The 12,659-nt window shown below is 40.3% G+C and overlaps 1 long non-coding RNA gene across 1 annotated transcript in view; it reads left to right on the forward strand.

The window, feature by feature from the left end:
• The window catches only part of LINC01482 (long intergenic non-protein coding RNA 1482), a 51,453-nt gene that overhangs the window by 36,655 nt on the left and 2,139 nt on the right, over positions 1-12,659 (forward strand). The window contains exons 3-4 of the long non-coding RNA NR_110825.1: positions 7,305-7,358; positions 12,141-12,557. This is a non-coding gene — a long non-coding RNA (long intergenic non-protein coding RNA 1482). The remainder of the gene's footprint in view (positions 1-7,304; positions 7,359-12,140; positions 12,558-12,659) is intronic.

Below are 12,659 nucleotides of genomic sequence, written 5' to 3' on the forward strand. Positions count from 1 at the left end.
CTAAGATAGCTTAAAGTATGAAAGATGGTGAAATCTGCTGTCTAAGTCATTGAGAAGAATTATAAAATGTAATGTTTAAGGAAAGTTCAGACAGATGGAGTAACTGTTTCTTTTCCTTTTTCCTAGGGCTCTGTGTTTGTTATGTGATGGCTGGGGTGGTAGGTTGTATAAACATCATGCTTTCCTTCTCCTCTCTTCTCAAAATATCACAGGGATGTAATCGATGACTTTTCTGGCTACAGTGTATTACTTATTTGGAATATTCACATCTGGATCAATTGTCAGCACGTTTCTTGGTTGTTGCTTTATTCATTCATGTATTCAACTAATATGTTGAACTAAGCACCCTGGTTGGGCATCGAGCTTAGGAAAGTACCTTCATGAGATAGTTTCTCTCTTCAAGGAGTGTTATAATTTACTCCCAAGCATCACTCACATTGTGAAACCCACATATTACTCCAAACAATTGTTAGAAGATGATAGGGCAGATTCTGTTACATTCAGAAAACCCCAAGAGGCTCAATGACTTATCTGGGAGAACCTGGAATTGTCTCTTAACTGGCATTCAGTGCTCATTGAAAGCCAGCTCACAGGCCCTTTCTTTCATCCCAGAAAGTGATTCCAGGTTTTTCCTTTGGCTCTTTTATAGAAGGGTGCCTCTTATGGGTTTAACTATGTCTCTGCAAAAATTCATTTGTTGAAATCCTAGCTCCCATCATCTCAGAATGTGACCTTATTTAGAAACAGGGTGGTTGCAGATGTAATTAGTTGAGATGATGTCATACTGGAGTAGAGTGGGTCCCTAATCCAATATGACAGGTGTCCTAATGAAAAAGAGAAAGGCTGGGTGTGGTGGCTCCCCTCTGTCATCCCAGCACTCTGGGAGGCCAAGGCGGAAGGATCACTTGAGGTGGAAGGATAGCTTGAGGCCAGGAGTTTGAGACCAGAAGTTTGAAACCAGGAGTTTGAGACCAGCATGGGCAACGTAGTGAAATCCCATCTCTACAAAAAAATTAAAAAATTAGCTGGGCATTGTGGCAGGTACCTGTAGTTCCAGCTACTTGGGAGGCAGAGGCAGGCGGATTGCTTGAGACTGGGAGGGGGGATGCAGTGAGGTGTGCTTGTGCCACTGCACTCCAGCCTGGGCAACAGAGTGAGATCCTGTCTCAGAAAAAGCGGGGGAGAAATTTGGACACGGACACTCAGGCACACAGGGAGAGCACCGTGTGAAGGTAAAGGCAGGATAGGGGTAACGCAGTAGAAGCCAATGTGCACCCAAGACTGCCAGCAAGCTGCCAGAAGCGAGGGGAGAGGCAGGGAACACTTCCTCCCTCACAGCCTCAGAAGGAACCAAGCCTGCCGACACCTTGATCTAGACTTCTGGCCTCCAGAACTGGGAGACAATACCGTTCTTTTTACCTTTACTTTATTGAAAAAGTGTTTTAATTTTTTTTAACTTTTATTTTAGGTTTGGAGATACATTTGAAGGTTTGTCACAAAGGTAAACTCTTGTCATGGAAATTTGTTGTCCAGATTATTTCACCATCCAGGTATTAAGCCCAATACCCAATAGTTATCTTTTCTGCTCCTCTCCCTCCTCCCATCCTCCCCGCTCAAGCCCAATACCCAATAGTTACCTTTTCTGCTCCTCTCTCCTCCCACCCTCCCCCCTCAAGTAGACCCCAGCGTCTGTTGTTCCCTTCTTGGTGTTCGTAAGTTCTTATCATTTAGCTCCCACTTATAAGTGAGAATGTGTGGTATTTGGTTTTCCATTCCTGCGTGAGTCTGATAAGGATAATAGCCTCCAGCTCCATCCATGTTCCTGCAAAAGCCATGATCTCATTCTTTTTTACGGCTGCATAGTATCCCATGGTGTTTGTGTACCACATTTTCTTTATCCAGTCTGCCATTGATGGGCATTTAAGTTGATTCCATGTCTTTGTTATTGTGAATAATGCTGCAGTGAACATTCACGTGCATGTGTCTTTATGACAGAATGATTTATATTCCTCTGTGTATATACCTGGTAATGGGATTGCTGGGTCGAATGGTAGTTCTGCGTTTAGCTCTTTGAGGAATCACGATACTGCTTTCCACAACGGTTTAACTAATTTACACTCCCACCAACAGTGTGTAAGTGTTCTTTTTCGCTGCAACCTTGCCAGCATTTACTTTTTGACATTTTAATCATTGCCATTCTGACTGGTGTGAGATGGTATCTCCTTGTGGTTTTGATTTGCGTTTCTCTAATGATCAGTGATATTGAGCCTTTCTTCATATGCTTCTTGGCCACATGCGTGTCTTCTTTTGAGAAATGTCTGTTCATATCCTTTGCCCACTTTTTAAGGTTTTTTTTTTCTTGTAAATTTGTTTAAGTTCCTTATAGATGCTGGATATTAGACCTTTGAGATAATAGACTTCTGTTGTTCTAAGTCACCCAGGTTTTGGTACTTTGCATGGCAGCCCTAGGAAACTAAAACTATAACAAATCTTATTTCTTAGAAAATATATGATTTTTCACTATTGCTGACTGAACCAAAAAAAACAGTTTTGAGGCTAGATCATTTGGAGACTAGTCATTAACATTGATTTAATATTTGATTCAATGAAAAGCAATTTTTTTCTTTTGTTTCTATTTTTTCAATTTATGGTTGACACATAGTAGTTGTATATAATTATGGGGTAGAATGTGATGTTTCAATAGGTGTATACATTGTGTTAATTGAATCAGGGTAATTAACATATCTATCACCTTAAACAGTTATCATTTCTTTGTGATGAGAACATTCAAAATTCTCTTTGCTAGCTATTTTGAAATATACAATGCATTATTATTAACTGTAGTCATCCTACTATGCTACTATGCAATAGAACACCAGAACTTATTTCTGCTTTGTAACTGAAGTTTTGTACCCATTGACCAATCTCTCTCCATCACCCCCCACTCCCTATTATCTGTTAATCACTGTTATACCCTCTACTTCTATGAGAACAACGTTTTAGAGTCTACATGAGTGAGATCATGAGGTATTTGTTTTTCTGTGCTTGGCTTATTTTACTTAACATATTGTCTTCCGGGTTCATCCATGTTGTCTCAGATGACAGGATTTCATTCTGCTTTATGGCTGTATATAATATTCCATTGTGTATATATGCCACAGTTTCTACATCCATTCATCCACTGATGGAAATTTAGGTTGATTCCATATCTTGGCTATTGTGAATAATGCTGCAATAAACATGAGGTACAAATATCTCTTCTATATATTGATTTCATTTCCCTTGGATTTTTTTTGGATAAAACCTCAAAAATATGGGCAACAAAAGCAAATATATACAAATGGAATTAAATCAAACTAAGAAGCTTCTGCACAGGAAGGAAAACAATCAACAGAGCAAAGAGACAACCTACGGAATGGGAGAATATATTTGCAAACTATACATCTGATGAAGGGTTAATATCCAAGGCTGGGTGTGGTGGCTCATGTTTGTAATCCCAGCACTCTGGCAGTCTGAGGTGGAATGATCGCTTGAAGCCAGGAGTTTGAGACCAGCGAACAAAGTGAGACCCTATCTCTACAAAAAATTTAAAGATTAGCCAAGTGAAGTGGCATGCACCTGTGGTTCCAGTTATTTGGGAGGCTGAGGCGGAAGAATCAGTTGAACCCAGGAGTTGGAGGCTACAGTGAGCTATGATGGTGCCACTGCACTCTAGCCTGGGTGACAGAGCAAGATCCCATTTCAGAGAAAAAACATAAAATAAAGACTCAAACAACTCAACAACAAAAAACCAAATAAGCCAATTAAAAAAATGGACAAAATACCTGAATAGATATTTCTCAAAAGAAGACATACAAATGGCCAACAGGTGTATGAAAAAATGATCAACATTGCTAATTATCAGGGAAATGCACATCAAAATTACAGTGAGCTATCACCTTAGTCAGAATTGCTACTATCAAAGACATGAAAAGATGACAGGTATTGGTGAGGATGTGGAGAAAAAGGAACCTTTATATACTGCTGGTGGGAATGCAAATTAGTATAGCCATTATGGAAAACAGTATGGTGTTAAATTAAAATTTAAAAATTAAAACCAAAACTGTTCTGTGATCCAGCAATCCCATGGTTGGGTCTACACCTGGCAGCAAACTTCCTCAACACCTCCTCAATCAAGCGCTGTGTGCTAACTGTTTAAGGGCTCTAACTGTATGATACTTCTTAGTTGTCTGTAAGGAATAGCTAGTCTAAGGAGGAATAGGAAGAGATAAGAAAAGCAGACACATTCACATAAGACACTACTGTAATAGAAGTTCAGATGTTACTGGATTTAAGCAACAAGCAAATTAATTCTGTGTCATCTAGGCTTTAAACACTGGTGAGATTCTGACAGGTCTAAATTGTTGGGAGAAGGAGGGAGGACATTTAAGGGAGAAAATTTCAAAGTGGTTTCATTTTACGTGAGCCTGAGTTAGAGGAATTTGAAAATATGATGCATAGGTATATTAATGGAGTTTCATTTACTGTACAAATGTGGAATTATTCTCATTTCTCAAATAAAAAAAGCCAATTTATTCTATAACTTCCAAGCTGGAGGGCTGAGTGAATAATAAAATGTGTTTGAATTTTTGTGAAACGTTGATGCATCTTTTCCTGGTTAAGCAAAATACTCACTATTCCACATCACTATTATTTAGTCCAGATACCAATCTGTTGTTTATGGGTATTGAAAATTCTGATCGTGGTGATTGCTGTGTTGCCATTTTAATATTTACAGTTATTATAATTTTTAAATCTTTTATATAGTGTGAAATAATATTATCTAGACTTTTATTTTGTGCAGGTGCTAAGCCTGATACAAAAAATGTGCCTAAAAATGTCAATAACTTTGGAAAGCTAGATGTATTAAAATGCCTGAAGGAGACCAAGCAGTGGTTATGATAACTGTAATAGTAATTTAGAAGAATGCATTAGAGCTAATGTTGAGAAAAAATAAAACAGAGTATGGTAGGTACACCTTAGGTTCACAAAATTCTGTAATTGGACAAAATTATGGTGAAAATGAGGAAACTGATGGCTACATATCTGTAAGAATAATTTTGCTTTTAACTGTATATACTCCAAACATTATATATGTTCCTGCAGGACAATTGGTCCTAAGATATGTTAATTGAAGAAAGAAATTTCTGGCATAAAATGTGACTATCTCTAGCTTGGAAGTCAACTTAAAGTGGGAAGTAGTAGAGGTAAGAAGAGCACAGAGGAGTGGAAGCTAAGAATAGGAAAGGGTGCAAGAAGCACAGCTGGGCACGGTGGCTCACGCCTGTAATCCCAGCACTTTGGGGGGCCGAGGCGGGTGGATCACCTGAGATCAGGATTTCGAGACCAGCCTGGCCAACATGGTGAAACCCCATCTCTACTAAAAAATACAAAAATACAAAAATTAGCTGGGCGAGGTGGCACGCCTCTGTAATCCCAGCTACTTGGGAGGCTGAGGCATGAGAATCTCTTGCACCTGGGAGGCGGAGGTTTCAATGAGCCGAGATCGCACCACTGCACTCCAGCCTGGGCGACAGAGCAAGACTCTGTCTCAAAAAAAAAAAAAAAAAAAAGAAAGGGTGCTAGGAGTACGTGTGTTGTGGAGGGTCTCCAATTCTCAGGTGAGGCACTGATGCTTAGCTTAGTTTACCAGGCAACAGGGGAACCTCTGAAAGGGTTAGAGCAGGCCAGTGACACTGTGCCTGAGATGGTAGATGCTCAGTGAAGTTGAGTGTTGAGTGAATGATTGGTCAGAACCACCCTGGAGAAAATTGTTAGTACCTTTACAGGGAAGATAATAGGTAAGATGTACCGAGGGTCCTGAGATCCAACAGGAGTGAGCTCATGAAATTCCTCTTCGGCCAAAGTAAAGTGCCCCCCAGGCTTCCACTGCTTTCAAAGAAACAGCAGTGACTGGCTCTTGCTCTTGATTCCTGGAATCTCAGAATTCTGGGAAATTGGGAAAATCAGGAAATGTGAAATACATTTGGTTCATATAAATTGCAACTCTTTTTTTTTCTTCTAATAAGTGTTTGTTGCTGGTAGAATCACACAGCTGTTTCCTAAATCAAAGATCAATTTGTTATATTATTTTTACTAGTGGCTTAGGGGTAATTGTTTCTGGAAAACATCTGTTCTATAATTAGAAAACAAAGATTTATTTTCCCTGACTGGGTGTAATTACTTTTGGGGACCGAGGGAAAGCTTTAGAATTGCCATGTCAATTCAAAGAGGATTGTTTGCAGTGAAATATGTCCTTTTAATTTTTCTTAAGTAGCTCGGAGGCTGGAAGAAAATGCATGTTTATTAGCATTGTATAGGCTGTAATAGAATAAAGCAAAATTCCCAGATGTGTATGGGCTTGTTAATACAAATAACTCCAGTGATTTCAACTCAGTCAATTACAAAGAATTCCATTTTTGAAAAGAAATGAATGGATATCAGAGTGTTAAGGGCCTTTCCTGGCAAGTCCATAGATAGTTCTAATTCTAATTCTCTAATTAGAATTAGATTGATTGCCCCTTTGGCAAGCAAAGACTCTTACAGATGCCAGGGACTTACTCTGATTTGCTTTTTGTGGTGACGTAGGGTGGATTTGAGCTCACATGATTCCGTGCACCCTAAGAGAGTCCTGCTCTGAGGCTTGATTTTCAGCCCTGTCTTCTGCTTGCGAACGTGTCGCCCTCCACCCCATCCCTGCCACCCCTCACCACTGTACCCTGAGCTCTCACTCATTTCTGCAGTTCTCCTGATATTACATCCAAGCCCTGATTACATGCTGTTCATTGAGTCACTTGACCTTCCCAGTCTCAATTGTACCCTGATGTCACCAGTTTCCTATTGACATATGTGACAACATAAATGAATCTCAAAATAAACTATGTTGAGTGAAAGAAGCAAGGTGAAAGAGTACATGCTATTTTGTGGCATTTATACAAAACTCTAGAAAATATAAACTCATCTGTAGTGACGGAAAGATCTGTGCTTGCTTGGGGCTGGGACTGGAGAAGACCAGGAAGGAGAAATTCCAAAAGGAAACTTTTGAGGGGGATGGATGTGTTTGCAATCTTCATTGTGGTGACGGTTTCATGAGTTGTGTACATGTGTCAAAACTTATCAACTCGTATACTTCATCTTAAAGTCTGTTTAGTCTGATGTTAGTATGCCATGCCAGCTCTCTTATGGTTGAAATTGTATACTTTAAATATGTTCAATTGATTGTATGGTGATTATACCTTAATAAGGCATTTTTCTTTTTCTTTTAGAATAACCCAGTGGAAATCTCTCACATAAGAAGTGATAGAACTACACATCTGAGTGTAGGACGATCTGATTCTAAAGTCCGTGCCCTTGACTACTTAGTAATTATTGCTTCTTCTGTAATGCAAATAGCCACTTTGTGTATTTGGTATGGCTGAACTTCTTTAATATTGGAAGGTTTGGGAACAGGGAATAAGGTTCTTTCCCATACCTCTGATGGGGGGGGAATATTAGAGTTTCTGCAGAGTAATTTGGTGATGTCTTGAAAGCTTTATGAATGCACATATGCTTTCATTTATCAATTCCATATATAGGAACCCATCTTAAGGAAGTAAGAATAAATTTCTGCAAAAACTTATTTACAGGCATAATAAGCACAATTTGTTTCATAAAAATGAAAACTTGGAAAATTAATCTGTACCATGCAGCCATTGACATTATTTTAGTAGAAGAATATTTCCTAACATAGAAAAACATTCAGAGTATATGATTATGCAAATAGATCCATTTTAATAAAATGTATAAGTTATCTGTGTGAAGAAAAAAGTCTGGAAGTAGGTTTTAAATGGTAATATGGTAGTTACTTCTGAGAGAGGAGTACAGATAATGGGCGATTTTAATTCTATCCTTTGTGCTTTTTTTATATTTTCCACATTTTTCACAAATGGCTATGCAGTGATTTCATTTATCAGATAAAACCATAAGTAGGTACCACTTAAAGAGAAGGTATACCTGTGTGTAAGTTTGCTTTCTTGGGTGCTCTTAAACTTCTGGATATTTCCTTGGATGTAGTCATCCATTAGGATAGATGGAGGAACATCCCGGGTGTGGGTGCATATTTATAATGACACTGAGTATACAAGTGTGGTTTTTAGGATTAGAAAACCCAATCGTTCAAAGAAGGAGTGTTCCTACCTGAGTCAGGTAGAAACCAGGTAACTGGACCAGCAAGGTAATTGTGGCAGAGAACTCGTGATTGGGAAAGAGATCACATCTTATCCTGATGGAGCTCCCTTGCCCAGATCAAGGGCAGGGCCTGTATAAATAGGGCTTTTGGATAAATTGCTGCCCCTATACACTAGCCCGCCATTGAGTGTGCAAACTCACCCCTTCACTGCCATGAAGTTGCTTTACCTCCTAGCTCTTTTGAGACCTTGAGATGCGGTCGTCATACCATGTCTCACTTTACCATCAGCCTTGGTCTCTGCCATGTGGCTGCAGATGCTCTGCTACCTTCCTACACATACTGTTCCTCTCACTTGGCTCTTCCTTTCTTTCTCTCCCACTCAGCCTTACCCTGTGTCCTCTGGAATTTCTGTGCTTGACCTTCAAATTCCCCTACATTCTCTATCTTTTTACACACTGCTTCTCTTTGGCATTAAAACTTATGTTTATCCAATCAGAAAAAAATGTCTCCTTCTACATATCCAAATATCCATTGGACTCTAACATTTCCATATTCCATAGAAAACACATATAGTTCCTTCCTGCAGCCTGGAAGGAATATTGTGAGAGAATAGATACATTCTTCACCAGCTACCATTATCTACAAATAGAACTTGTGAGTTGGGCATAACCTTTAGGCCAATTCTCTATACATGTAAAAACAATAGACCACTTTATTCACCAAAGTATGAATAAAACATATAAAACAGAACACTTCATCTTTCCCCTTAAATATGTCCTTTCTTCATATTATTTTACTTTTTGAAATGTGAAGTAAAATTTACCTACATACTTTTCATCCAGTTGGTTAATACCTTAACTTAACCAGTCCCCATAACTAGCCATAGCCCTCTAATATCAAGGATGTCACTGGATTAAGATTTTTAAAAAATGTGCAGAGCACAAAGCCAATGTTTCAATTTGACGTCTTGTGACTAGCTGCTGTTTTATCCTTCCATGTTTTCTCCCTCCTCAAATAATACGTTTACATGTCTTTGCCTCCACAACATTATAAATTCATCATGTATTTTCTTCATCTGCACACACTTGATATAGGAAGCATCCAGCATTGCACATGAAATAATATGTAAGGCAGAATACTCAAGGAGTTAGGATTGACTTGATTTGGGCTGTGACTTAGAAGCTGAGTTATAAGGAGTCATTGCAATGTTCTCCTTTAAAGTATTTTAACATAGACTATGCAAAATTATGCATGGGCAGTTAGTTTAAGCTTTAACTTTATATCCATCCAGTCACCCAAAATGAGAATTCACATTGGAAAGGGTGGTAGATGGAGATGGGAGTGTGGATATCTAGTTAGCTATGTCAGAGGTACCATACCCAATGCGGTTACTATCAGTGCTCTGTTACCCAGATTTTGGTCAACATCCGAGGCTTTGCTAGATAGCATAGTGATGATGCAGGATCTTTTTCTCCTTAGCTCAGCTAGGTCCGGGTTCTTCTCTCACAACCAGGAAAAATTAGTCATGCGAACACTCGAAGAGTGAGTGAAGTAGAACTTATTAAGCAAAAGGAAAGCTCTCAGCAAAGAGAAAAGTCCTGAAAGCAGGTTCCTGGTTGTCCCCTTCACAGTTGAATACAAGGGCTTTTACATACGTGCTGATGGGGCTGGATTCCCTAGTTGTATAAGGTGCGAATTCCTTGTGGCTCTGCCGCATTCCTTCAGTGCACATGCAGGCCCTTAGTCCACTGCGGGCATGTTGCGCAGGGCAAGCCCCCTGTGCAAGTTCCCTTATCTGCACAAAACACGGGTCGGAGTTTCTCCGGGAACCCTTCACTTACTGTCTGCCTAAAGCAAGCTGGCTAACTCCTTTGAGTGATATTAGAAATACTCTTATTGGTGAAGATGATAGCTTGTTAATTAGCACAACGATTATTAGAAATGCATTCTCATTGGAGAAATCAAAGCATTCAGGTTTTGTGTGTTGGCTAAAATATTTTAGAGACACCCACTACCTTCCATTACCAGGGCATGAACATCTTACAAGATTGTCACACGTACCCTTAGACCATGAACCTGAGGCTGGGTCACTGACCTTGGCTTAATTCTCTGACTTGGGAGCATTTCTAGTCTTGCGAGGATAACTGAGAGTAACTGAATCCTGCCTCTGGTATGTTTTTGTGTCTGTCTTGACAAAATTTGTCCTATAAATGTGATGTTTATAGTTCCCAAAAGAGAGCTGGAAGTTCATTTGAGTCTATGGAAACGATTGCGTGAACTGTGTTGAGCCTGCTTGCCAATAATTATTTATTGAATAAATGTCCATGCGATAGGACAAATTTGGTTTGAGACTTGCTTTTCTTACAGCCTGGAAGGAACATTGTGAGAGAATAGATACATTCTTCACCAACTACCATTGTCTACAAATAGAACTTGTGAGTTGGCCGTACCTTTAGGCCAGTTCTCTATACATGTAAAAATAATAGACCACTTTATTCATCAAAGTATGAATGAAAAGATTAGACTTCAAATAGGCAAGTACAAAGCCCTGTATCTGGACAATAGAGTTGTTGCTTTAAAGGAAAAATTTCTTTTAAGCCTCAGGAACTATCTAGGGAAGGGTGGAAGAGGAGGATTTCGAAGATTAGCTGATGGCCACATTAAAGGCCAGAGGGCAGGGACTGGAATGCCCACTCTGGGGAGACAGCCATGGTGGAGAATGTGGAGATGGAGTCGTTTTGAATCCAGTGGCAATGAAGAAAAGACTTTGGTTAGGAAAAACGAGTCCCATTGCAATTATCTTTGCCCATAAGGAATTGTGACTTATTTCCTTCCCTTAAATCAATACCAGACCAGACCCAAATGCCAGCAAGCACATAACAGCAGTGACCCAGCAAGCAGTAGGACAGTGCATTTAAGGACAGCTCCGTCTGGCCTGAGGAAGCAGCAGTTAAGGTTCAAGTCCTGTCTTATCATCGTTTTCCCGTTCCTCATTTCCTTTTGTTTGAGACTGGAGGTCAGTATCTAGGGGACTAAGGCAAATGACACACAAGAGATTTTGTTCCTGGGTGAACACCTCCTTGACTAACCAAATATTTAACTGTCTATTTTCATCTCTGGACAGCATAGTGGTAAGAATGGGAGGTGGTTAAATAAGGAAGGATCTGTCCTCTGCTCGTTCTTCCCTGTTACAAAAATGATCCCACATTGACTTCCCTTCGCTCCAAATTAAACTGCTCTATTTCTCATTCAGGCATCATAACCCATTGATTGTTTTAGTCTGCCAAGGGTACTGTAACAAAGTACCATAGACTGAGTGTCTTATAAACAACAGAAATGTGTTTCTCATAGTTCTGGAGGCTGGAAGTCGGAGATCAGCGTGCCGGCGTGGTTGGGTTCTGGTAAGGGCCTCTCCCGGGTTACAGATGGTCAACTTCTCATTGTGTTTTCATGTGGCAGGAAGATGGTAGAGAGCTCTCTGGAGTCTCTTTTTATAAGGGCGCTAATCCTGTTCATGAGCACTCCTTATGACCTGATTGCTTCCCAAAGGCCTCACTTCCCAAAACCATCCTACTGGGGATTAGGGTTTCAACATGTGAATTTGGGGAGGACACAAACATTCAGTTCATTGCACTAATCTATCACTTCGCTTCTGAATATATGTTGTTTGCAGTTTCAGGAGGGAAGGTGAGAAAGACTGGCCAGCCCCGAAGGGAGGGAGATAGGGGTGGTATGATTTTAACAAATTGAAAAGAATGATGAACTTCCCTGCAGGCCCTGGCTGTTCACTTTCCAGATGCGAAACTCTCCACCTTAAAGTGGAGCCCAGAGCAGTAAGACAGGTCATTGGATCCGGATTGGAGGCAAATCAGCTGAATGATGTGGGAATATACGATGATGCATGTTTGACACTTTTTTCCAACTTCTGTGGCAGATGAGCCTGCATGGCATAGTGAGTCTGCAACTGTGAACTCGGGAAATCCTGTACCTTCCCGTGCAGTCGCTCCCCAGCCATGCAGGTATTTCCAGAGCCTGGAGATCCCAGACTACCTTTCAAAAGAATGAATTCCAGACCCAGAGAGTCCCCTGGAGGAGATTCATGGCAAGCAGCCGTACGAAATAACAGAAGCCCCAGAGAGGGGAAGCAATTTCCTGCCTAAGTCGTCCATCTGTCAGTGGCAAAGCTAGGACTGGAACTCAGGATTCTCCATCCCTCTTCCCAAACCTGGCACTATCTTCCTGGCTTTCTGGGTCTGGAGTCCCATGTTAGAGGCCCTCTGTTTTCAGAGCAGGACTCATTGAATATGTGTGCTCTTTCTACTCAAGTGCTTCAAGGATCCTTCCTGGAAAAGTAAGAAAGGGGTGGTGATCCTCCATAGATATGGATTGTCAATTATCTCTGAAGACTAGATAAGGAATGGGGGTGGGGAGGTGTTCTAAAAGAAATGGGGTC

The sequence above is a fragment of the Homo sapiens genome, chromosome 17 (genome assembly GCF_000001405.40).
Source record: "Homo sapiens chromosome 17, GRCh38.p14 Primary Assembly".
NCBI lineage: Eukaryota > Metazoa > Chordata > Mammalia > Primates > Hominidae > Homo > Homo sapiens.